Genomic DNA, 24,877 nt, shown 5'->3' with positions numbered 1-24,877 from the left:
AGTAATGGGATTGCTGGGTTAAATGGTAATTCTGTTTTTAGTTCTTTGAGAAATCTCCAAACAGCTTTCCACAGTGACTAATTTTCATTCCCACAAACACTGTGTAAGCATTCCCTTTTCTCTGCAACCTTGCCAGCATCTGTTATTTTTTGATTTTTTAATATAGCCATTCTGATTGCTGTAGGTTAGCATCTCATTGTGGTTTTGATTTGCATCTCTTTACTGATTCATGATGTCTAACATTTTTTCATAGTTGTTGGCCCCCTGTGTGTCTTCTTTTGAAAAGTGTCTGTTCATGTCTTTTGCCCATTTTCTAATGGGGCTATTTGTTTTTTCTTGTTGATTTCATTAAGTTCCTTATAGATTCTGGATATTAGTTCTTTGACAGACACATAGTTTGCAAATATTTTCTTCCATTCTGTGGATTGTTTACTCTGTTGATAGTTTCTTTTGCTGTGCAGAAGCTCTTTAGTTTAATTAGATCACAATTGTCATTGTTTGTTTTGTTAAATTTGCTTTTGATGACTTAGTCATAAATTCTTTGCCAAGGCCAATGTCTAGAAGAGTATTTCCTAGGTTTTCTTCTAGAATTCTTATAGGTGAGGTCTTACATTTAAGTCTTAATCCATCATGAGTTAATTATTATATATGGTGAGAAGTAGGGTTTCAGTTTCATTTATCTGCATATGGTTAGCCAGTTTTCTCAGCATCATTTATTGAATATGGTATTTTTTCATCATTTTTAATTTTTTTTTTACTTTGTTGAAGATTGATTGGTTGTAGTCATGCAGTTTTATTTCATGGATTTCCATTCTGTCCTTTTGGTCTGTGTGTCTATTTTTGTACCAGTACTGATATAGTTTGGATGTTTGTCCCTCCAAATCTCATGTTGAAATGTTATCTTCACTGTTGAAGGTGGGGCCTGGTGGGAGATCTTTGCATCATCTGAGCAGGTCCCTAATGAATGGCTTGGTTTTCTCTGTGGTAATGAGTCACACAAGATCTGGTTGTTTAAAAGAACCTGACACTTCCTTCTTCTCTTTCTTGCTGTCTCTCATCATGTAAGACACTGGTACCTCCTTTGCATTCTGCCATGTTTGTAAGCTCCCAGAAGCCCTCACCAGAAACTGAGCAGATTCAGGTGTCATGCTTCCTTTACATTCTACAAAACTGTGAGCCAAATAAACCTCTTTTCTTTATAAATTACCCAGTGTCAGGTATTTCTTCACAATATTCAAAATGTACTAACACAAGGACCTTTTGGTTACTGTAGCCTTGTAACATAATCCCCCACAAGGAAAACCAATGAGGCTTAACCAAAACTGTGACCTAACCAACAATGCACAAGATGTCTCCAAAGAAGTGCAAAGTAGTCCTCATAAGACAAATAAAGTTTTGCAAGCCATAATTGGAGTACAACCCACATTTCTGTCCAGACATATTTTTTAAGGATCTTAGCTTCCCAGCTGACCATCTGTACACAAAGGTGAAAAGCCTCACGTGCCCTCACAGAGAGAAAACAGGAAATAAAAAGCCGGCCATTATGAAAGAGAAAAAGATCAATAATTGACAAAAGTTACATAAATTTCAATCCAAAAGGGTTTCCTGACTGGGGATCAAACCCGGGCTGTGGCAGTGAAATCACAAAATTTTAACTATTTAACATCACAAGGCAGAGTGGCTTTCATTGTTATTCCCTCAGGACATCCGAAGTATGCAGTTTGAGCTTACAAAGGATTTTAACTTTGTTTCAGGTCAAATTTTGCTCTTTAATTTAATCAAGATAATTTTTAAGGCTAGCCATCATACTATTATGTGTCCTTTGTTAAAAAAGTTATATCTTCCCATTGTTCTTAAGCATGTAAGCCACTGGGGTTCTTTATGGCAGCTAATCAAAGATTGTCCCCTTAGAACTAAGTTTCTCTATACTGTAAAATTCTCTATCCCCTTAGAAGTAAAGTTCTTTGTACTGTCCCCTTAAAAACAACAGTTTTCTCTCCTGTCTTCTTAGAAAAAATGTTCTCCCTTAGAGAAGTATGGTTCTCTACAAGTGCACTCACCTTAACTTGAAGTCTCTTAAGTATCCATTGTGTGAACATCCTCACAAAACCTTATGGACCAGCTGAGTCCAATTGGACTGGGAAATCCCTCCAAACCTGGGGCTGACAGGGAAGACCCCTCTGGGGTCCAGATTGAGGGAACCAGGAAGGATGGGAAGGTACCTCCTAAATCCAGGGCCAACAGAGGTGTTCTCTTCAGGGTCCAGAATTGAGGGAATTGAGACAAGGTCTGGGAAGGAATTAGGAAGAAATGAAAAGAAGTGGAGAAAAATAACACTTCCAAAATTTTCAACTTAAAAGCAGGAGATCTTAGATTGGGGGGAAATTACCCAGCTTCCTCCTCAATCATGTCAACTGAAAAATGATGAGGTTTGTAAATAAAGAAGAGCTTTGTTTCTTGTAAAGGGTTGTAGCCTGCAGTGTGGCCATTCTACAGGCTGGGGAGCAAAGCCTCTGGCAGGAAGCAAGAAACAGATACTTTCTTCCTTTTTTATTTTGGCAGAAATTATACTTATCTTAAGATTGATGCCTGGCACAGAATAGATTCTCAATACATAGTTGTTCAAAAAAAAAATGAACTATTTTAATTGATAATGCAATGAGGTATATCAGTAAAAATCAAAGTAGGAAATAAGAAACTCAAGTGAGACTATTTAGATTGGGCAGAGTTAAAGAAGCCAACAAGTGATGACAAAACACCAAGGACATTTCCACAGTAGGAAATCATCTCCTCTAGTACTGAAGGGTCAAGGAGAGGACTATATACATCTGGGGTCAAGAAACAGAACTATCCAAGTGGATCCATGACTATAGGGAATGGAGACTCTGCCAAAACTATACTGAGGCAGGAAGGGTGAGGAGAAAACAAGTAGACATCACTTCCTTTTCTTTCTCATATCCCTTTGATATTTCCCATTGGCTTAAAGAATCAGTGGAAAGCAAGAGAGTGTAAATGAAGCAGTCTGTGGAGATCTGTCACCTGAGTAGGGCAGCAAAGTGGAAAAAATGGATCTTCTTGGAGAGAGTAAGAGGAAAAGTGGAAATTAACCCACACAAGGGGGAATATTTTGGTAGTTGTTAATGTGTCTTTCTGTTTTTTTATTTTGTCTTCATGTCCTTCTCCTTAGTCATCTTGAGACACCTTTCTACTACCAGGAGTGGTCCAGGTAGGGAAAGAGTGGGGAATGTTCAGAATTGTTAATGGTAAAATGCAGAGTAATAAAGGGCTGCTCTTCAGCTGCCAGAATTCACAGAAATAACTTTGCAATAAGACAGAAGAGTTTATATTCCAGGATTTGAGAAAAGATTGAGGATTTTTAAAATTGTCTTAGCACATCAAGAACCAATTCTGTGTTCAGGTCATAGGACATACCTGAGAAGAAGCCTCCTCTGCTTATTACTCAGCCATGAGGCTGGCACACTAAATGGCAACATGAAAGAGCAAAGGATTGGAATCTCATACCAGAGAGAATGATGTGTGCATCTTAAGTGGAGGGAACATTGAAGGCAGGGAGTTTTTCTCCTTATCTAACAAAGAACTCTGACAGATAATATCATTACATCAAGGAGGCTAGTGGTGTTAGTCATCTTTTAACATAAACTCATGGTCCAGCATTGTTAAGTCAAAAAAGAAACTGATTTTAGCTTGCCCCCATTCCTATATAACGTGGATGCATCTATTTTCTTCCAGACGTGTGATGTGGTTTGTCTGTGTCTCCATCCCAATCTCATGTAGTAGGAGGGATCTAGTGGGAGGTAATTGAATCATTGGGGGCAGGTTTTTTCTGTGCTGTTCTCATGATAGTGAATAATCCTCACAAGATCTGATGGTTTTATAAAGGGCAGTTCCCTTGCACACGTCCTCTTGTCTGCCGCTATATAAGACATGCCTTTGCTCCTCCTTCGCCTTCCGCCATGATTGTGAGGCCTCCCAAGCCATGTGGAACTGAGTCCATTAAACCTCTTTTTCTTTATAAATTACCCACTCTTGGGTATTTCTTTATAGCAGTATGAAAATGGACTAATACAGTAAATTGGTACTGATAGAGTGGGGTACTGCTGCTAAAATACTGAAAAATGTTGACATGACTTTGGAACTGGGTAACAGGCAGAGTTTGGAACCTTTTGGAGGGGTCAGAAGAAGACAGGAAAATGTGGGAAAGTTTGGAACTTGAACTTCCTAGAGTTGTGGAGGGTGCCAAAGACAGGAAGATGTGGGAAAGTTTGGAACTTCCTAGAGACTTGTTGAATGGCTTTGACCAAAATGCTGATAGTGATATGGACAATGGATTGCAGGCTCAGGTGGTTTCAGATGGAGACAAAGAACTTGTTGGGAAATGGAATAAAGGTTACTCTTGCTATGCAAAGTGACTGGAGGCATTTTTTTCCCTGCCCTAGAGATCTGTAGAACATTGAACTTTAGAGAGATTATTTAGGGTATGTGGTGGAAGAAATTTCTAAGCAGAAAATTGTTCAAGAAGTGACTTGGGTGCTCTTAAAAGCATTCAGTTTTGTTCATTCACAAAAATATAGTTTGGAATTGGAACTTATGTTTAAAAGGGAAACAGAGCATAAAAGTTTGGAAAATTTGCAGCTTGATGATGTGATAGAAAAGGAAAACCCATTTTGTGAGGAGAAATTCAAGCTGGCTGCAGAAATTTGCATAACTAATGAGGAGCCAAATGTTAATCACAAGACAATGGGGAAAATGTCTCCAGGGCATGTCAGAGACCTTCACAGCAGCTCCTCCCACCACAGGACCAGAGGCCTGGGGGAGCAGGGAATGGTCTTCTGAGCCTGGTCCAGGGCCTCCCTGCTGTGTGCAGCCTTGGGACTTGATGCCCTGCATCCCAGTTGCTTCAGCTCCAGCCATGGCTAAGAGGGGCCAAGGTATAGCTCAGGCCATTGCTTCAGAGGGTGCAAGCCCCTAGCCTTGGCAGTTTACATGTGCTGTTGGGCCTGTGAGTGCACAGAAGTCAAGAATTGAGATTTGAGAACCTCCATTTAGATTTCAGAGGATGTATGGAAATGCCTAGATGTCCAGGAATAAGTTTGCTCTAGGGGCAAGGCCCTCTTGGAGAACCTCTGCTAGGGAAATGCAAAAAGGAAATGTTGGGTTGGTGCCCCCACACACAGTCCCCACTGGAACACTTCCTCATGAAGCTGTGAGAAGAGGGCCACCATCCTCCAGACCCCATAATAGCGTATCTACCAGGAAATTTTACCGTGTGCCTGGAAAAGCCACAGACACTCAACGCTAGCCTGTGAAAGCAGCTGGGAGGGCTGTACCCTGCAAAGCCACAAAGGCAGAGCTGCCCAAGGCCTTGGGAATCCACCTCTTGCATCAGCATGACCGGGATGTGAGACATGGAGTCAAAGGAGATTATTTTGGAACTTTAAAGTTTAATGACTGTCCTAGTGCATTTTGGACTTGCATGGGGCCTGTAGCCCTTTCATTTTGGCCAATTTCTCCCATTTGGTATAGGGGTATTTATCCAACTCCTGTACTTCCATTGAATTTAGGAAGTAACTAACTCACTTTTGATGTCACAGGTTCATAGGTGCAAGGGATTGGCCTTGTCTCAGATTAGACTTTGGAAGGTAGACTTTGGAGTTAATGCTGAAATGAGATAAGACTTTAGGGGTACTGTTGGGAAGGCATGATTGGTTTTGAAATGTGAGGACCTAAGATCTGGGAGAGGCCAGTGGTGGAATGATATGGTTTAGCTGTGTCCCCACCAAAATCTCATTTTGAATGTACCTCCTATAATCCCCATATGTCATGGGAGGGACCCAGTGGGAGGTAATTAAATCATGGGGGTGGGTTTTTCCTGTGCTTATGAGAGTGAATAAGCTTCACGAGATCTGATGGTTTTATAAAAGGGAGTTCTCCTGCACACACACTCTTGACTGCCACCATGTAAGATGTGCCTTTGCTCCTCCTTTGCCTTCCGCCATGAGCGTGAGGCCTCCCCAGCCATGTGGAACTGTGAGTCCATTAAACCTCTTTTTCTTTATCATTTTCCATTCTTGGGTATTTCTTCATAGCTATATGAAAATGGACTAATGTCATGAGGTGCGGTGGCTCATGCCTGTAATTCTAACACTGTGGGAGGCTGAGGCGGGTGGATCACGAGGTCAGGAGTTCAAGACCATCCTGGCTAAGATGGTGAAACTCTGTCTCTACTAAAAATACAAAAAATTAGCCTGGCGTGGTGGGGGGTGCCTGTAATCCCAGGTACTTGGGAGGCTGAGGCAGAGAATTACTTGAACCCGGGAGGCAGAGGTTGCAGTGAGATGAGATCATACCACTGTACTCCAGCCTGAGTGACAGAGTGAGAATTCATCTCAAAAAAAAAAAAAAAAAAAGAAAAGAAAATGGACTAATACTGCATGACAATAGCATGGGAGTTAGCTGAATGTCTCTAGATTCGGACTTTGGACAAGAGTAGGATCACAGGAGGGCCAAAAGGCTTGAACAATAGTCAGCCTGGACTGGAAATATGCACACCACTGCCATACCTAGAGCCAAGGGAGAGCAGTAGAAAGAGCTTATATGGAGTCCTGTCAGCAGAGATGCCTACCCTGACCAAACTGATAGAATCAAAATTACAAGTTACATCAGTAATGAATAGCAACAAGTACCCAGGGATCACCAGTCACACTCCAGGAGTCATTAGCCTACACAATGGCAAACTACACCTAAAGCAGTTTTGAGTCCCTCTTCATCTGATTGCATGTGTATAATAAGACCCCTTATACCAGCAGATACTACCCTGAAGTGAAGAAGGGACAAAGGAAGAGATCTGAAAATTTGGTTATTTATGCCAAAGAAACAAATCTCAAGGTGTTTGCTCAAAATATGAAATTTAACTGAAATAACCAGGTCCAACCCCCTCACAAATTAGCTTTGATATTTCTCCTCCTTCTTATCCAATACTGGTATGAGGGGCAGGAGTTACCTAGGAGGACAGTATATCATTTTTTGGGATTAAATAACTATTTTTCTGCAAACATCAGTGTATCATGCATAATTTTGTAATTTCAGAACACTAGACATTTCATGTAAAGCTACATGTCACATATGTACTTTAAAGTATATGCATGTTTAAACTTGTTCAGACTCAACCATATATTAAATTTACTCTTGGTTCTGTCAGCTCATTGACTTGACATTGATCTGATTTGATTATATTTAGATAGATGATATCAGCTCTAATATTGAGGAAGTAGACAGTGCAAAGTAATTAGTCACAAAGCTCTTTTGTAAGCCTCCAATATAATGAACTCTGGGCAAATTAGCTTGTAAGCATAATATCTCCCATTTTAATTTGATTTCTGAGCTCCAGAATTAGGAAGGCCATCAGTAAGATCCGTTGTTATTCTGCCCAATATAATTAGAGGGTCAGCAATTTGGTCTTGCCTTGATGACAAAACAGTTATCTATGGCATCCCCTTTCCCATTTAGGAAAAATAAAAGCCTGTGCTTACTTAGGTTTCTTTTCTAATTAAGTAGAGTGAGTCCTGGTTTCACAGGGATGGAGCGAGCAAAACATGTCAGAACTGAAGCTCAGTGTGAGTATAAAGAATATCTGAGGCAGGAGGAATCACAACCGTAGCAATCAAGATTCTCCTGCTCTCAAGTTATTACCCTTTGTTCTTTGTATAAGCTGTTGGGCTTTTTATCTCCAGCTGGTGTGGCTGCTGCTCTCTCCTCCCATCTGGCCTGTGTTTGCACTCTGAACTCCCCAACTCTCTTGGTATCTGTCTGGCTATTTCACAATTTCCCAATCCCTCAGTTGCCCAAGTTGGGAGTTTTTCAATGAAACTTTTCTAGAAAAATCTAAAACAAAAACACAAAAACAAAATTAATGTAAAAGGTTATAGCACTTAATAAACAGACAGGTTTATGGAGCACAGAATTCTTAACCTAAAGCAGACTGAAATCCAGTCAAGCTCTGCTTCCATGGTACAATTTGCCAAGTACGTGAATCACTATTTTCTCTTTTGTTCTTAACCTTACCTGCCTCAGTTACAGGACAAGCCCTTCTTCAAAATAAAGTCATCTTACACCTTTTTTAGAACAGGTGAATTTATCAGTTCTAACCAAAACCAATTTATTAGAATCAGAGTTCTGAGTGCTGGAAAAACAGAAGTGCAGATGTTTGTTGTGGCAAATTTAGCTGTGTGACTTTGAGCAAATTGCTTAACCTTGCTGATGTGTTTTAATCTATGTAATGGGAATCACTATAACAACTTCACAAAATAGTTCTGAGGAATAGTAAAATAATAAAATAGGGTAAGCATTAGTATGGTGCCTAACAACTAATAAAATTTCAACAAATGATAACTTTTGATTATTTATTTTTAGTGTTATTCTTAATCTTCTGCACAATAAATTCTCTTCAGGATTTTCATTCTTTCCAAAGATTCTCTGATGAATATTTACAGCTATAAATCAGGCCGGGCATGGTGGTTCACGCCTGTAATCCCAGCACTTTGGGAGGCAGAGGTGGGTGGATCATGAGGTCAAGAGATGGAGACCATCCTGGCCAACATGGTGAAATCCCATCTCTACTACAAATACAAAAATTAGCTGGGCATTGTGGCGCGCACCTGTAGTCCCAGTTAACTCAGGAAGCTGAGGCAGGAGAATCACTTGAATCTGGGAGGCGGAGGTTGCAGGGAGCCAAGATTGTGCCACTGCACTCCAGCCTGGTGACAGAGTGAGACTCCGTCTCCAAACAAAACAAAAAACCAGTTTCACTATTGTTTTGGATAAATATGTATGTCTAGTAAGCCCTCTTATGGCCGTGTGTCCTTCTGGGTCATTAGGTTACTAGAAAGACTCACTGGTCTCACCAACTGATCAATACATCTCTTCTTTACACATTGCATTGGCCCTCCCATAAAGTTTCTTCTTTGAACATTCAGAATTGAGTACAAAATGATTAGTCATCTTTTTATCTACTAAGTTTTGCAACCCTGAGATGATTTTTAAAGTAGTCGAAAATTATCTGATGCTCCTTTCATTGAAAGATAAGATTTATGTCCTTTCCTTTTTAATCTGTACAGACTTGTTTTTGCTTCTATCGATAGAGTGTAACCAAAAACTCTTTGTGACTTCTGAGGTCTGAGGCTAGCAGATATAAAGCCATGCAGCTTTTGTTCTGTCTCATGGATCCCTGAGCTTCCATAATGGAATTTCAACTACTGTGAGGCAACCATGCTGTGGGGAAGCCCAAACCATATACAAAGACCATTTATAGATTTAGAAGACTGTCTTAGGCAAGCTCAGCCTAGGAGTCATCCCAGCCTAGGTGTCAGATCTGTGAATGAGTCTGCTCCAGATGAGTTAAGTGTCCGGCCAATCAGTCATATCCAACTATTTGAGTCTTCTCAGCTGAGGCTCCAGTCAATGGAGAACAGAGTCAAGCCATAATCCTGTGCCTTGTCCAGACTCCTGAACAACAGAATCTGTGAGTGTAATAAAATGGTTTCTATTTTATGCCACTAAGTAATGAGTAGTTTGTTATACAGTAATTTATATCTAGAACAGTCTTAGAATTTAAGCAGATTTCCTGGGGCAAGAGACATAGCTGAGTAGCTTTTAGGTAAGGGTTTTTCAAAGAAATCTATTCAGATGGAGCAAAGGAGGGCTGGTAGTGACCAGTGAGACCAAATGAACTGCTTCACAGGAACTTGGTATATTAGTCTGTTCTCACATTGCTATAAAGAACTACCTGAGACTGGGTAATTTATGAAGAAAAGAGGTTTAATTGACTCACAGTTCTGCAGGCTGTGCAGTAAGCATGGCTGGGGAGGCCTCAGGATATTTACAATCATGTTGAAAGTTGAAGGGGAAGCAAGCAAATATTCACATGGCCGGCAGGTGAGAGAGCAAATGGGGGAGTGCTACACACTTTTAAACAACCAGATCTCATGAGAACAGCAAGGGAGAAATCTTCCCCCCATGATCCAATCACCTCCCACCAGGTCCCTCCCCCAGCACTGGGGATTATAATTCAACATGAGATTTGAATGGGGACACAGAGCCAAACCATATTATTCCTCCCATGACCCCTCCCACATCTCAAGTCCTTCTCAGATTTCAAAATCAATCATGCCTTTCCAACAGTTCCCCAAAGTCTACAGTCCCCCAAAATCTTAACTTATTCCAACATCAACTGAAAAATATAAGTCCAAAGTCTCATCTGAGGCAAGCAAGTCCTTTCTTCCTATGAGACTGCAAAATAAAAAATAAGTTAGTTACTTCCAAGATACAATGAGGGTTCAGGCAATGGGATATGGTCCTATTCCACAAGGGAGAAATTGGCCAAAAAGAAGGGGATAAGCCCCATTCAAATACAAAACCCAGTAGGGCAGCTATTAAATCTTAAAGCTCCAAAATAATGTTCTTTAACTCCATGTCTTACATGGTACCATGCTGTTTTGGTTACTCTAGCCTTGTAGTATAGTTTGAAGCCAGGGAGCATGAAGCCTCCAGCTTTGTTCTTTTTGCTTAGGATTATCTTGGCTATCTGGGCTCTTTTTTGGTTCCATATGAAATTTGAAGTGGTTTTTTTTTTTTTTTTAATTCTATGAAGAAAGTGAATGGTAGTTTGATGGGAATAGCATTGAATCTATAAATTCATTTGGGCAGTATGGCCATTTTCACAAAATTGATTCTTCCTATCCATAAGCAAGGAGTGTTTTCCCATTTGTTTGTGTCCTCCCTTATTTCCTTGAGCAGTGGTTTGTAGTTCTCTTTGAAGAGATCCTTCACGTCCCTTGTAAGCTGTATTTCTAGGTATTTTATTCTCCTTGTAGCAATTATAAATGGGAGTTCATTCATGATTTGGCTCTTTCATTGTCTATTGTTGGTGTGTAGGAATGCTTGGGATTGTTGCACATTGATTTTGTATCCTGAGACTTTGCTGAAGTTGCTTATCAGCTTAAGGAGTTTTGGGGCTGAGACACTGGGGTTTTCTAAGGATAGAATAATGTCATCTGCAAACAGAGATAATTTGTCTTCCTCTCTTCCTGTTTGAATACCTTTCATTTCTCTCTCTTGCCTGATTGCCCTGGCCAGAACTTCTAATACTATGTGGAATAGGAGTAGTGAGAGAAGGCATCCTTGTCTTGTGCCGGTTTTCAAAGGGAATACTTCCAGCTTTTGCCCATTCAGTATCATATTGGCTGTGGGTTTGTCATAAATAGCCCTTATTATTTTGAGATACATCCCATCAATACTTAATTTATTGAGAGTTTTTAGGATGAAGGGCTGTTGAATTTTGTCAAAGGCCTTTTCTGCATGTATTGAGATAATCATGTGGTTTTTGTCTTTGGTTTTGTTTGTATGCTGGATTACGTTTATTGATTTGCATATGTTGAACCCACCTTGCATCCCAGGGATGAAGCCGACTTGTTCATTGGGGATAAGCTTTTTGATGTGCTGCTGGATTCGGTTTGCCAGTATTTTGTTGAAGATTTTTGCACTGATGTCATCAGGGATATTGGCCTGAAGTTTTCTTTTTTCATTGACTCTGCCAGGTTTTGGTATCAGGATGATGCTGGCCTCATAAAATGAATTAGGGAGGAGTCCCTCTTTTTCTATTGTTTGGAATAGTTTCAGAAGAAATAGTACCACCTACTCTTTGTACCTCTGGTAGAATTCAGCTGGAATCCATCTGGTCCTGGGTTTTTTTTTGTTGGTAGGCTACTAATTACTGCCTCAATTTCAGAACTTGTTATTGATCTATTCAGGGATTCAGTTTCTTCCTGGTTTAGTCTTGGGAGGTGTATGTGTCCAGGAATTCATCCCTTTTTTCTAGATTTTCTAGTATATTTGCATGGAGGTGTTTACAGTATTCTCTGGTGGTATTTTTATTTCTGTGGGATCAGTGGTGATATCCCCTTTATCATTTTTTTATTGGGTCTATTTGATTCTTCTGTTTTTCTTTATTAGTCTAGCTAGTGGTCTATTTTGAAGAGTTCTTCATGCCTCTATCTCTTTCAGTTCTGCTCTGATCTTACTCATTTCTTCTCTTCTGCTAGCTTTTGAATTTGTTTGCTCTTGTTTCTCTAGTTCTTTTAATTGTGATATCAGGGTGTTGATTTTAGATCTTTCCAGCTTTCTGATGGGCATTTAGTGCTATAAATTTCCCTCATAACACTGCTTTAGCTGTGCCCTAGAGATTCTGGTACATTGTCTATTTGTTCTCATTGGTTTCAAAGAACTTCTTGATTCCTGCCTTAATTTCATTATTTATGCAGGAGTCATTCAGGAGCAAGTTGTTCAATTTCCATGTAGTTGTGTGGTTCTGAGTGAGTTTCTTAATCCCGAGTTCTAATTTGATTGCACTGTGGTCTGAGAGACAGTTTGTTATGATTTCCGTTCTTTTGCATTTGCTGAGTGTTTTATTTCCAATTATGTGGTCAATTTTAAAATAAGTGCCATGTGGCACTGAGAAGACTGTATATTCTATTGACTTGGGGTGGAGAATTATATAGATGTCTATTAGGTCCACTTGATCCAGAGCTGAGTTCAAGTCCTCAATATACCTGTTGATTTTCTATCTCACTGATCTGTCTAATATTGAAAAGTGGGGTGTTAAAATCTCCCACTGTTATTGTGTGGGAGTCTAAGTGTATTTGTAAGTCTCTAAGAACTTGTTTTATGAATCTGGGTTCTCCTGTATTGGGCAGCTACATATTTCGGATAGTTAGCTCTTCTCATTGTATTGATCCCTTTACCATTATGTAATGCCCTTCTTTGTCTTTTTTGATCTTTGTTGGTTTAACATCTGTTTTATCAGAGACTAGGATTTCAACCCCTGCTTTTTTTTTTTTTTTTCCTATTTGCTTGGTAAATATTCCTCCATCCCTTTATTCCTTTATTTTTAGCCTACGTGTATCTTTGCACATGAGATGGGTCTCCTGAATACAGCACACCAAGGGGTCTTGACTCTTTATCCAATTTGCCAGGCTGTGTTTTTTAATTGGGGCATTTAGTCCCTTTACATTTAAGGTTAATTTTTATGTGTGAATTTGATCCTGTCATCATGATGCTAGCTTGTTATTTTGCACAATTAGTTGATGCAATTTCTTTATAGCATCATTGGTCTTTATATTTTGGTGTGTTTGTGCAGTGGCTGGTACCAGTTTTTCCTTTCCATATGCAGTGCTTCCTTCAGGATCTCTTGCAAGGCAGGCCTGGCGGTGATACAAAATCCCTCAGCATTTGCTTGTCTGGAAAGGATTTTATTTCTCCTTCAGTTATGAAGCTTAGTTTGGCTGGATATGAAATTCTGGGTTGAAAATTATTTTCTTTAAGAATGTTGAATATTAGCCCCCACTCTCTTCTGGCTTGAAGGGTTTCCACTGAGAGGTCTGCTGTTATTCTGATGGGCTTCCCTTTGTAGGTGACTTGGCCTTTCTCTCTGGTTGCCCTTAACATTTTTTCCTTCATGTCAACCTTGGAAAATCTGATGTTTATGTGTTTTGGGGTTGATTTTCTGATTGAGTATCTTAGTGGCATTCTCTGTATTTCCTAAATTTGAATGTTGTCCTGTCTTTCTGGGTTGGGAAAGTTCTCCTGGATAATATCCTGAAATGTGTTTTCCAACTTGGTTCCATTCTCCCTCTCACTTTCAGGTACACCAATCAATCATAGGTTTGGTCTTTTTACATAGTATTTACAAATACATAGTATATACATATTTCTTGGGGGCTTTGTTCAATCATTTTCATTCTTTTTTCTCTAATCTTGTCTGCACACCTTATTTCAGCAAGGTAGTCTTTAATCTCTGAATTCCTTTATTTTGTTTGATAGATTCAGCCATTGATACTTGTGTATGCTTCATGAAGTTCTTGTGCTGTGTTTTTCAGCTGCATTGGGTCATTTATGTTCTCTCTAAACTGGTTATTCTAATTAGCAGTTCCTGTAACCTTTTATCAAGTTCTTAGCTTCCTTGCATTGAGTTCGAACATGTTCCTTTAGCTCAGAAGAGTTTGTTATTACCCACCTTCTGAGGCCTACTTCTGTCAATTCATCAATCTCATCCAGTTTTGTGCCCTTGCTGGATAGGAATTGTGATTATTTGGAGGAGAAAAGGCATTCTGGCTTTTGGAATTTTCGGCATTTTTCCACTGGTTTTCCCTCATCTTCCTGAATTTATCTAACTTTGATCTTTGAGGCTGATGACTTTTGGATGGGGTATTTGTGGGGGATCTTTTTTGTTGGTGTTGTTTTTGTTGTTGCTTTCTGTTTGTTTGTTTTTCTTCTAACACTCAGGCCCCTCTTCTGCAGGTCTCCTGCAGTTTGCTGGAGGTCCATTCCAGACCATGTATGCCTGGAGGCTGTAGAATAGCAAAGAGTGCTGCTTTCCCCTTCCTCTGGGAGCTTCATCCCAGAGGGGCACCGGCCTGATTCAAGCTGGAGCTCTCCTGTATGAAGTATCTGTCGACCCCTGTTGGGAGGTCTCTCCTAGTCAAGAGGCACAGGGGCCTGGGGACCCACTTGAGGAGGCACTCTGTCCCTTAGCAGACCTAGTGCACTGTGCTGGGAGAATCCCCCTTGTCAGGGCCTGCCACTCTCTCTTCAGAGCCGGCAGGCAGGAAAGATTAAGTCCGCTGAAGCTGCAACCACAGCTGCCCCTCCCACCAGGTGCTCTGTCCCAGGGAGATGAGAGTTTTATCTGTAAGTCCCTGACTGGGACTGCTGCATTTCCTATGAAATGGCCTGCCCAAGTAAGGAGGAATCTAGAGAAGCAAACTGGCCACAGCCACTTTGCTGTGCTCTGGTGAATTCTGCCCAGTCCAAACCTCCCAGTCTCCTTAGCATTATCTGGGGAAAACTGCCTACTGAAGCCTCAGTAATGGTGGATGCTCCTGCTCTCACCAATCTCGATTGTCCCAGATCACCTCCAGACTGCTGTGCTGAGAGTGAGAATTTCAAGCCAGTGGTTCTTACCTTGCTGGGCTCCATGGGAGTGGGACCCTCTGAGTGAGACTGCTGGCTCCATGGCCCTTTTCCAGGGAAGCGGATTGTTGTTCTGTCTTGCTGGAGTTCCAGGAACCACTGGAGTCTGAAAAAAGCTCCTGCAGCTGGCTCCATGCCTGCCCAAACAGCTGCCCAGTTTTGTGCTTGAAACAAGAGCCCTGGTGGTGTAGACTCATGAGGGAATCTCCTGATCTGCACATTGCAAAAATCTGTGGGAAAAGTATAGTACCCAGGACAGGTAGCACAGCCCCTCACTGCTTGCCTTGGCTAGGGAAGGGAGGTCCTTTGGCTCCTTGCACTTCCTGGGTGAAGTGACACCCCACCCTGCTTCTGCTTGTGCTCCGTGGGTTGCACCCACTTCCTAACCAGTCCCATTGAGATGAACTGGGTACCTCTGTTGGAAATGTAGAGATCACCCACCTTCTGCATTGGTCTTACTGGGAGCTGCAGAACGGAGCTGTTTCTATTCTCTTCCTTACTCCTGAAGAACAGCTTTGCCCAGTGTAGTATCTTGGGTGCAGCTTTTTTTTTTTTTTTTTTTTTCATTCAGCCCTTTGAATATATAATTTTATTCTCTGCTGGCTTTCAAGGTTTCTGCTAATAGATACACTGATAACCATATGAAGACTATCTTGTATGTGATGAGTCTCTTTTCTCTTGCTGCTTTCAAGATTTCCTCCTTGTCTTTGACTTTGGACAATTTGACTATGTGTCTCTGAGTATTCCTCTATTGGTTGATCTTGCTTGGGATTCTCTGAGCTTCTTGAATTCCTTCTAATATTTGGAAAGTTTTCAGCCAGTGTTTATTTCAATAAGCTTTCTATTCCTTCTTCTCTCTTCTTTTACTAGAATACTCATAATGCCTGTATTTGCATGCATGGTGGTGTTTCATATGTCCTTATCCTTTCTTTACTCTTTTCCTCCTTTCCCTCTTTTTGTTCCTCGAATTATTTAGTTTCAAATGACCTGTCTTTGAGATCACTAATTCCTTCTTTTGTATAATTGAGGCTGCTCTTGAAGGTTTGTATTGAATTTTTTCATTTCTGCCATTTTCTTCTTCAGCTCCAGAATTTCTATTTGATTTTTTAATATTATTTTTATTTATTTATTAAATTTTCATTTGGTTCATGCATTGTTTTCCTAATTTTTATTTATTGTTCTCTTGCATCTCATTGAGCTTCAAGATGGTTATCTTGAATTTCTTTTCAAGAAATTCATAGATCTCTCTCACTTAGGAGTTGATTGCTGGAGTGTTAGTTTCCTTTGGTAGTGTCATGATGGCTTGATACTTTGTTATCTGTAAAACTCGCATTGGTATTACTTGTGTATATGAAAGAGCAAACATTTCTTCCCATCTTTATGGACTAATTTTGGTTGGTAAAGACCTTCTCCTGTTAGGTACCCACGTTGTGATGGTGTTTGCAATTGCAGTTGAGTGGGGTTGAAGCTGGGTCACATGGTTGCTGCTGGGTCCTCAGTGGGATCTGCTGGTGGCAGGCCTATTACCAGGGTCTCAAGTGAGCATCGTTCCTGTCTAATCCCTAAGTAGATTGAATTACCTTCAGTAACTTGGTCAGTAGGGCATATAGTGGGATAAGTGTCAACTTCAGGGTCCTGAATGTTGACCCTGGTAATGGCATGCCTATTACCAGGTGCATGAACAGATATGGCTTCCTCTAGATCCTGGGAAGAACTCCCATTGGGTTATTGTGTGGGTTTCTGGGTGGGTATTACTAGCCCCAGACTGCAAATGAGAGGGACTAGAACTGAGTCAAAAGCCGGCTTCAGCTACAGCTTATATTTGGATCTGCAGGCTTCCTCTGGGGGCATGGACTAGTGTATTTCTCTCTGGGCATCTGGGCCAGGAAAACATGTCTCAGTCCATAGATGAGAGGGGCTGGAGCTAAGTTATCCAACTGTTTCATGACCTACTGTGGGACTAAGGTTGTTGGGAGTGTGCACAGGGATACAGATTGGCATATCTCCCTTCAGGTCCCTGGTGTGCAGAACTACTCTCAGAGGGCAGCTGAGAAAGGCCATAGTTGAATAACAGAAATGTTTTGCCATCTGCTGGCATCAAGGTCAGCAAATATGTTTCAGCAGCACAGACAAGTGTATCTCTCAGAAAGTCCCTGTGTGTACAGAACTACTAAGTAGGGCTGGAGCCAAGTTACTGAACCATTTCGGGGTTCTCCACAGTCAGGACTGAGATAGGCAGGTGTGACATTTGAGGCACAAGTGGGCCTGACTTATTTTGGGTCTCTTAGTAGATAGTTCTTTTAGTAGGGCCAATGCCAAATGTGACTATAGCCAAATACACAGGGGAACAGGGCCATTTTTGGGTCTGGAGCCAGGACTGTGATTGGCATGCATGCCACCTGGGTAATGATATGTTCTATTAAAATGGCCCTTCTAGACCTTGGGCTCCATCAGGGGTTCACAACCTTATACCTGAATCCCAAATCACCTACAAAGATATTTTTGTCATGGATGGCTGAAAATCATTGTTGCTGTGGAAAGATACCTGGAGAGATCTCCTATTCTGCCATCTAGCTGACATCACTGTCCCCAGAAAGATTTTTATTGAACTTCCTTGTTTAATTCATAGTCTTCTATTGATACTTTTGAAACCAGAATTCTGCAAAACTATCAAACTATTCACTTGTGTGTGTCTGTGCTGTCTGTTTAGCCTAAATTTGAAAACCTAGGGTTGGGAGACAGTATGAGTGCTAGAATTATTATTAACATCTAAACAAAGGTCTGAGAACATTTCATAAACTGTTTGAAGAATGTTTTTTCACACATTCAAAATGAAGGAAAGATAAAAGCTAAAACTCATTGGATTGTCAGGCCTTGAAGCTTTCTTGTCTCATAAAAGTAAGGAACTTGGTTCCTTATTCTGGCAGTTTTCAGAAGAAAGTTCATAGGTAACACTTTGAAGTATTGTTACAGACAATATTTGTATTTGGTGGTTGCATCAAAATATAATTTCTGAGTACATATCTGACATACTACAGAAGATCATCCCCGTGGTGTTTTGGGTTCTCTTTGTTGCATAAATGTATAAAAGAGGGCATAGAATTTATCTTACTACATGCCTGTATTACTTTCTTAGGTTTGGCATTAGAAAATTCTACAAACTAGGTAACATAAAACATAAGAAATTTATTGTTTTACAGTTTTGGAGGCTAGAAGTAAAGAAGTCAAGGTGTTGTAAGGGGAGTGCTGTCACTAAAACAGGTAAGGGGAAATAGTTTTTTGCTTATTCCTAGCCGCTAGTGGTTTTCCAGCAATCCTTGGCATTTCCTGGCTTGACTTACAGCTACCAGTCTCAGCCTCCATTGTCATATGACACTCTCCTCTTGTGTGTCTGTGTCTCTGTGTCTCTTCTACTCTTATTTTAGAGACAATAGTTATATTGGATTGGAGACCTTCCTTACTCCCATATTACCTCATCTCAACATAGCTTCAATAAACTCTTACTAAATAAGAGCACATTCTCCGGTACTAGATGTTAGGACTTCAAGAGAACTTTTAAGAGACACAATTCAACCCATAATAGTCCCCTAAACATAATTTTAAATTTCATCTTTAGCATTCAATTTTAGGTCACATTTCCTTCACATTTCCCAAATTGAAATGGTTAGAAGAAATTAGAGATATGTACATTTATGTACTGCCTAGTATTTCCAGCAGATATAATGATTTTAACATCTATGTATCTTGGAAGCTCTTTTCTAGCATCCCTCCTAATTTATATATAATTTTGTCTTTCTTTCTCCTTCATAAAAGGGCAAACAATGCAAGAATACATCCCCAAATGATTGAGTTTATCTGCAAATTGCTTCCAGGTGCTCATATCACTTTCTCTCCATCTTCAAACTAAAGGAAAAAAAATTCAATGTCACTGAAGAGCAAAATCATAAGGAATTCAAATGTTTTGTGTTTTTTCTCATTTTCCATCTGACATATTGCTTGTTTATAATTCTCCAGTTTATATTTACTTATGCTTACCAGTTTATACCACTAGTTTAGTGTGAGTGAGATTCTTGTTCATTTTTTAATTTTCCAGTTGACAACATACTACATGGATCACAATACGCACTAAATAAGTGCTGATCGACTTCACCAATGAATTACCAAGTATTTAAATTCACTTCAGGGTACCTAAAGTACGACATGATGTAAGGATTTATCAGTGAGGAACAGATTAGAAGCATTTGTCATAAATACGTGAAAGAAGCAGTTTAAAATCAGAGGGCTTCTGCTTATATTCTATTTTCTTATTGTACATGTAGATGGTAATTCTAAGAAGTATGAAATTTACTTTTTTATAAAATCTATATATGATGTTTAATTTACTTGACATTCCCTCACCTCATTCATTTTAAGAAATGCAAAGATAAATTTGACAGCAGCTAAAGCATCATCTAGACACATAAAGCAAATTGTTTCTTTTCCTGGTGTTCCACATTTCATGAGATCACAACAAGAACAAAGACAAAAATAAACTGGCTAGAAATAAATCCATATAACTCCAATGTCCTGTAATTTAAATATGGGCCATAAAATGTATTATAAATGGTATATCCATGCATGGATTTGTGTTGTCTATGTTTGGAGTCTCCAATAATAGATAGTGTTACTTAGCTTTAGTGAAAATAAAAAAAATCAATTTAATGGGATCTGAATTAATGAAATTATATTATTACTTCCCTATTTTAATAAAGAGTTTTTCAGTTCATCAGATGAACATTTAGCATGTTGGATGAGGTAATGAAACTACATGAATGATATTCACTGCTTTCAATTGTATATTATGATTTTTTTAGTTGTACATAATTGAAACTCAATCCAACTAGTTTTTGCCAAGAAAAGAATTTTCAGAAAACTATACAATCAGGGAATGGCACTGGCCAATGGAATGGAGGAAAAAAAGGCCAAACAATGTCATTAGGCTTTGTTGTCTCTGTTTCTCTGTCTACCTGTATTCCTGAGTCTCCCTGGCCATCTTTGTTTCTTGTTCTTTGTTCTTGTGAGCTTCAGAAATATGGAAAATAACAAAATAAACAAATTGGTCTCTGTGGCCCGATAATGCTTTAGCTGCTGTCAAATTCATCTTTACATTCATTATAAGGAGCGTAATTGGCTATATTAAACATAGGTGTTATGTTAAACATTATATATTGAGTTTATAAAGAAGTAATATTTATTTAATACTCCTTAGAAGTACCATCCATATCTATAATAGGATCATGGAATAGAAGCAGAGGTCCTCTGAATTTAAACTGCTTTTTATAATATATTTAGGATGAATACTTCTGATTTGTTCCTTGCCAGTATGTTTTTATATAGCTATGTGATACTTCAGGTATCCTCAAGTATTTTGGGAATTTAAAAGTGGTAGTGGGATAATATCCAGAGAATGTATGCATCTTTACAATATAGGAATGCTTGAGGAAAAAATATTATCTCAATTTCATGCTTCATATAAAATCTTAGAGAAGTACTCTGATTTGTTTAGCTTTATAGGCTTGTCACTTGACTGATCACTAAGGACTGTAGAAATATTGAATATAACAAATTTTGCATCTTGAATCAAGTGTGAACTCTTGTATCAGAGTATTTGAGAACTGTGATCAGTAATAAACCAGAGCTTCATGGAGTAACAGTTTGAGGAAGTGTCCTAAAGGGGAAGTAGCAGGTAAAAGAAATGATGCATCCAAAAATACAGCATATGTTCTTCACAGATAACTAGTTAAATTGATAAATATATCACAGATCTGAAAACTTTATTTCAACTTTAAAATTACAATGAATGAGAATTGTCAGAATGCTGTCAGTATGCATGTGATCAAATACTATTGTGAGTGACAGCTGAGATACAGATGAAGTAATTTCGTACTTCATATATTTATCTCTTCATTCAGGCATAGTTTATTTGCTCCTACCAAGTAGTTGAGGATGGTCCTAATCTCAGCTTAGTTTATTTATTTTACACCAATTTTTTATTTTAAAAAAATTTGAACCTATAGAGTAGTGAAAAGAATGTTACAGCTAACACCCACTGATATGGTTTGGCTGTGTCCCCACCCAAAACTCATGTTGAACTGTAATCCCCATAATCCCCACATGTTTTATGGAAAGAAATCTGATGGGAAGTAATTGAATCAAGTGGGGGGGCAGTTTCCGCCATGCTGTTCTCATGACATTGAGTCAATTTTCATGAGATCTGGTGGTTTTATAAGGTGACTCTTCACCCTTTGCTCGGCACTTCTCCTTCCTGCCACCTTGCGAAGAAGGTGCTTTGCTTTCCCTTTGCCTTCTACCATGATTGTAAGTTTCCAGAGGCCTACCCAGCCATGCAGAACTGTGAGTCAATTAAACCCTTTTCCTTTATAAATTACCCAATCTCAGCCAGTTCTTTATAGCCATATGAAAATGGACTGATACACCTACATACATGGGTAAACAACTGTTAACATTCACTCTCTTTTTCTCTCTCCTTAACCTTTCAAAAATAAACTGAGATATTATGATGTTTTATTGCAAAACACTTTAGTGAGGATTTCATAAGAATAAGGATATTTGCCTCTATGACCACAGCACTACTTTTTTGTCTAGTAAAAAGTAACATTATGTTCTCATAGAAGTAGAGAGTAGAATAGTGGTTACCAGATGCTGGGGAGAGAAGATGAAAGAGGGATGGACAGAAGTTGGTCAATAGACACAAAGTTACAGTTAAACTGGAGGAATACATTCTGGAGTTCTATAACACAGTAGGGTAAGTATAACTAACAACAACGTATTGTATATTTTAAGATATCTAGAAAAGATCTTGAAAGTTACCACAACAAGGAAATAAAAAAGGTTTGAGATGTTGGATATGCTAACTACACTGATGTGAACATTATATACTGTATACATGTATGGAAATATCACACTCTACCCAGTAAATGTGCCATTAATATATGTCTATTATAAGCAAAAAAGAAAAAAGGAACATTAACTCAATAATACAATTTAATACATAGTCCATATTTAGTGTTTCCAAAAATTTACCTATTATTTTAAAATCTGAAATCTAATCAGAGTTAATGCATTTGTATGTTTTATTAGGTATTTTAAATCTAGATATCTCTCATCATTTTTTTGGTTTTACTACATCTAATTTTTTATGGAGTTAATGCCAGTTATCTTGCAGGACATCTTACATTCTCTATTTATTAATTTGTTTCATCACTACTAGATTCAGATTAAAACTTTTTGAAAAGAATATTACAACAATGTTTTAGTCCATTTGTGATGCTACAACAAAAACCCACAGCTGAGCAGTTTATTTTAAAGAAGTAGACATTTACTTCTTAGAGTTCTGGAGGCTGTGAAGTCCAAGATCAAGGCGTAGGCATTTGTTGTCTTGTGAAAACTCAGTCTCTGCTTCCAAGATGGTACCGTGTTGCTACATCCCCTGGAGGACAAAAATGCTATGTTCTCACATGGTGGAAGGGATGGATGGGAAAAAAAAAAAGGACAAACTGTCTCTAAAACCTCTTTTATAAGGATATGAACCCATTCATAAGGGCAGGGCCCTCATGATTTAATTGCTTCCCCAAAGAATCCACCTCTTAATGCAACCACAGCAGGGATTAAGTTTCAACATGAATTTTGGAGAGAGCACATTGAAACCATAGCAGAGGGTAATGCCTGTATATTTTATTGCATCAATTCTGGACACATGTAACATCTAGCCTCCCAATATTCATGATGTCAAGTTTGATCACTTAATTAGGATGATGGCCATAGATATTGTCACAGTGGTCTTTTTTTTTTTTCTTTTCGGAAAGTAGTTCTGTGGACCTTGAGTTCTTCAATATGATTTTCTATTATGTCTTTCTTTTCTTTTTTCTTTTCTTTCCTTTTTTCTTTTTTTGAGACACAGTCTCACTCTGTCGCCTGGGCTGGAGTGCAGTGGTGTGATCTCGGCTCACTGCAAACTCTGCCTTCCAGGTTCACGTGATTCTCTTGCCTCAGCCTCCTGAGTTGCTGGGATTACAGGCACATACCACCACACCTGGCAAATTTTTTGTAATTTTAGTAGAGATGGGGTTTCACTCTGTTGGCCAGACCGGTCTCGAACTCCTGACCTCGTGATCCACCTGCCTTGGCCTCCCAAAGTGCTGGGAGTACAGGTGTGAACCACCAAGCCTGGCCAATTTTTTTTTTATTTCTTCTACATTTATTAGCTAAACTTTTTTGTAAAGGAGATGTTTCTATTTTAATCTCTCTCTGTCCCTCTCTATTATTATTATTAATATTATTATCACTATTAATCTGTGGAATGGTTTTTATTTTCTGTGTTATGACTTATTTTCCTTATGTATTACTGATTTTTTTGCTCAAAGTGTCACATATTTGGTTTATAAAAGTTTCATCTCATTAGCTACTGGGTTCTTGTTTTCAGGAACAAGGTATTCTAAACTCACCTTATATTTTCTCTCCCTAACCTAGAATTATCCACTTTGCCAAAGAGCCTGATTTCTTTATTCTTATTTTTTAATGGAATGATATTTAGAAATAACAATCTGGGGGCTAGATATGTTTATTGATACTCAAGTGTGTCATAGTTTCCAAGCCATTTCAGTGGATAGATATAGAAAACATATTTTTACAAACTATAAATACATATTGGTATATTCATTCTCATTTGATTTTACAGCATTTTTTGTTCTCACCTCCATTCCACATTTGTGTTTACCTTCTTAATCAGTGAAAAGTTTGGTTTCCAAAAGTATTTGTATATGTACTCATTGGCTTTATTCTGCAAAACATAAAATATAATTTTGAATCACACCACAAATTTCATTACATATCAAAAAACCTAGAAATCAATCTCAATATTTCTTTTAGACCTTTCTGAAGTTAGAACATATTTCTTGAGATGTAAATTGTTGAACAGTTATACAGGATAATTATTTGATCTGTGTTTTCATATTTCCAATTTGCTATAAAATTAAGTTTTATAATTTCTATTTGTAGTCAATTCGGGGATTTCGTTTTTCTTCCTGCTTTGTTCATTTTCTATTTTGAATATACAAAATATTTAAATGAGTCAATATTTAAAGCATTTTAAAAAGTGTACCCAAAAGTTACACTCTAATACCTAGTCCTTCCATCCTATGTCCATCTACTCTCTATAACTAACATATTTCATTAATTTCTGGTTTATCTTTGCTATTTCTTTTTGCAAAAATAAGCATAAACATCACACGTACACACAAGAATATACATATTTCTCTTTGAAGCAATTGTGAATGGGAGTTCACTCATGATTTGGCTCTCTGTTTGTCTGTTACTGGTGTATAAGAATGATTGTGATTTTTGCACATAGGTTTTGTATCCTGAGACTGCTGAATTTGCTTATCAGCTTAAGGAGATTTTGGGCTGAGTTGATGGGGTTTTCTCAATATACAATCATGTCATCTGCAAACAGGGACAATTTGACTTCCTCTTTTCCTAATTGAATACCCTTTATTTATTTTTCCTGCCTGATTGTCCTGGCCAGAACTTCCAACACTATGCTGAATAGGAGTGGTGAGAGAGGGCATCCCTGTCTTGTGCCAGTTTTCAAAGGGAATGCTTCCAGTTTTTGCCCATTCAGTATGATATTGACTGTGGGTTTGTCATAGATAGCTCTTATTATTTTGAGATACATCCCATCAATACCTAATTTATTGAGAGTTTTTAGCATGAAGGGCTGTTGAATTTTGTCAAAGGCCTTTTCTGCATCTATTGAGATAATCATGTGGTTTTTGTC

The 24,877-nt window shown here is 38.7% G+C and overlaps 1 long non-coding RNA gene across 2 annotated transcripts in view; it reads left to right on the top strand.

Moving 5' to 3' along the window:
• The window catches only part of LOC105376637 (uncharacterized), a 292,809-nt gene that overhangs the window by 138,001 nt on the left and 129,931 nt on the right, over positions 1 to 24,877 (top strand). For both annotated transcript variants that reach the window (XR_001748194.1, XR_001748195.2), the window contains exon 2: positions 18,243 to 18,303. This is a non-coding gene — a long non-coding RNA (uncharacterized LOC105376637). The remainder of the gene's footprint in view (positions 1 to 18,242; positions 18,304 to 24,877) is intronic.

Source organism: Homo sapiens, chromosome 11, assembly GCF_000001405.40.
Source record: "Homo sapiens chromosome 11, GRCh38.p14 Primary Assembly".
Taxonomy (NCBI): domain Eukaryota; kingdom Metazoa; phylum Chordata; class Mammalia; order Primates; family Hominidae; genus Homo; species Homo sapiens.
Note: the sequence above shows the minus strand (reverse complement) of the source record. Positions and strands in the feature narration are given on the sequence as shown.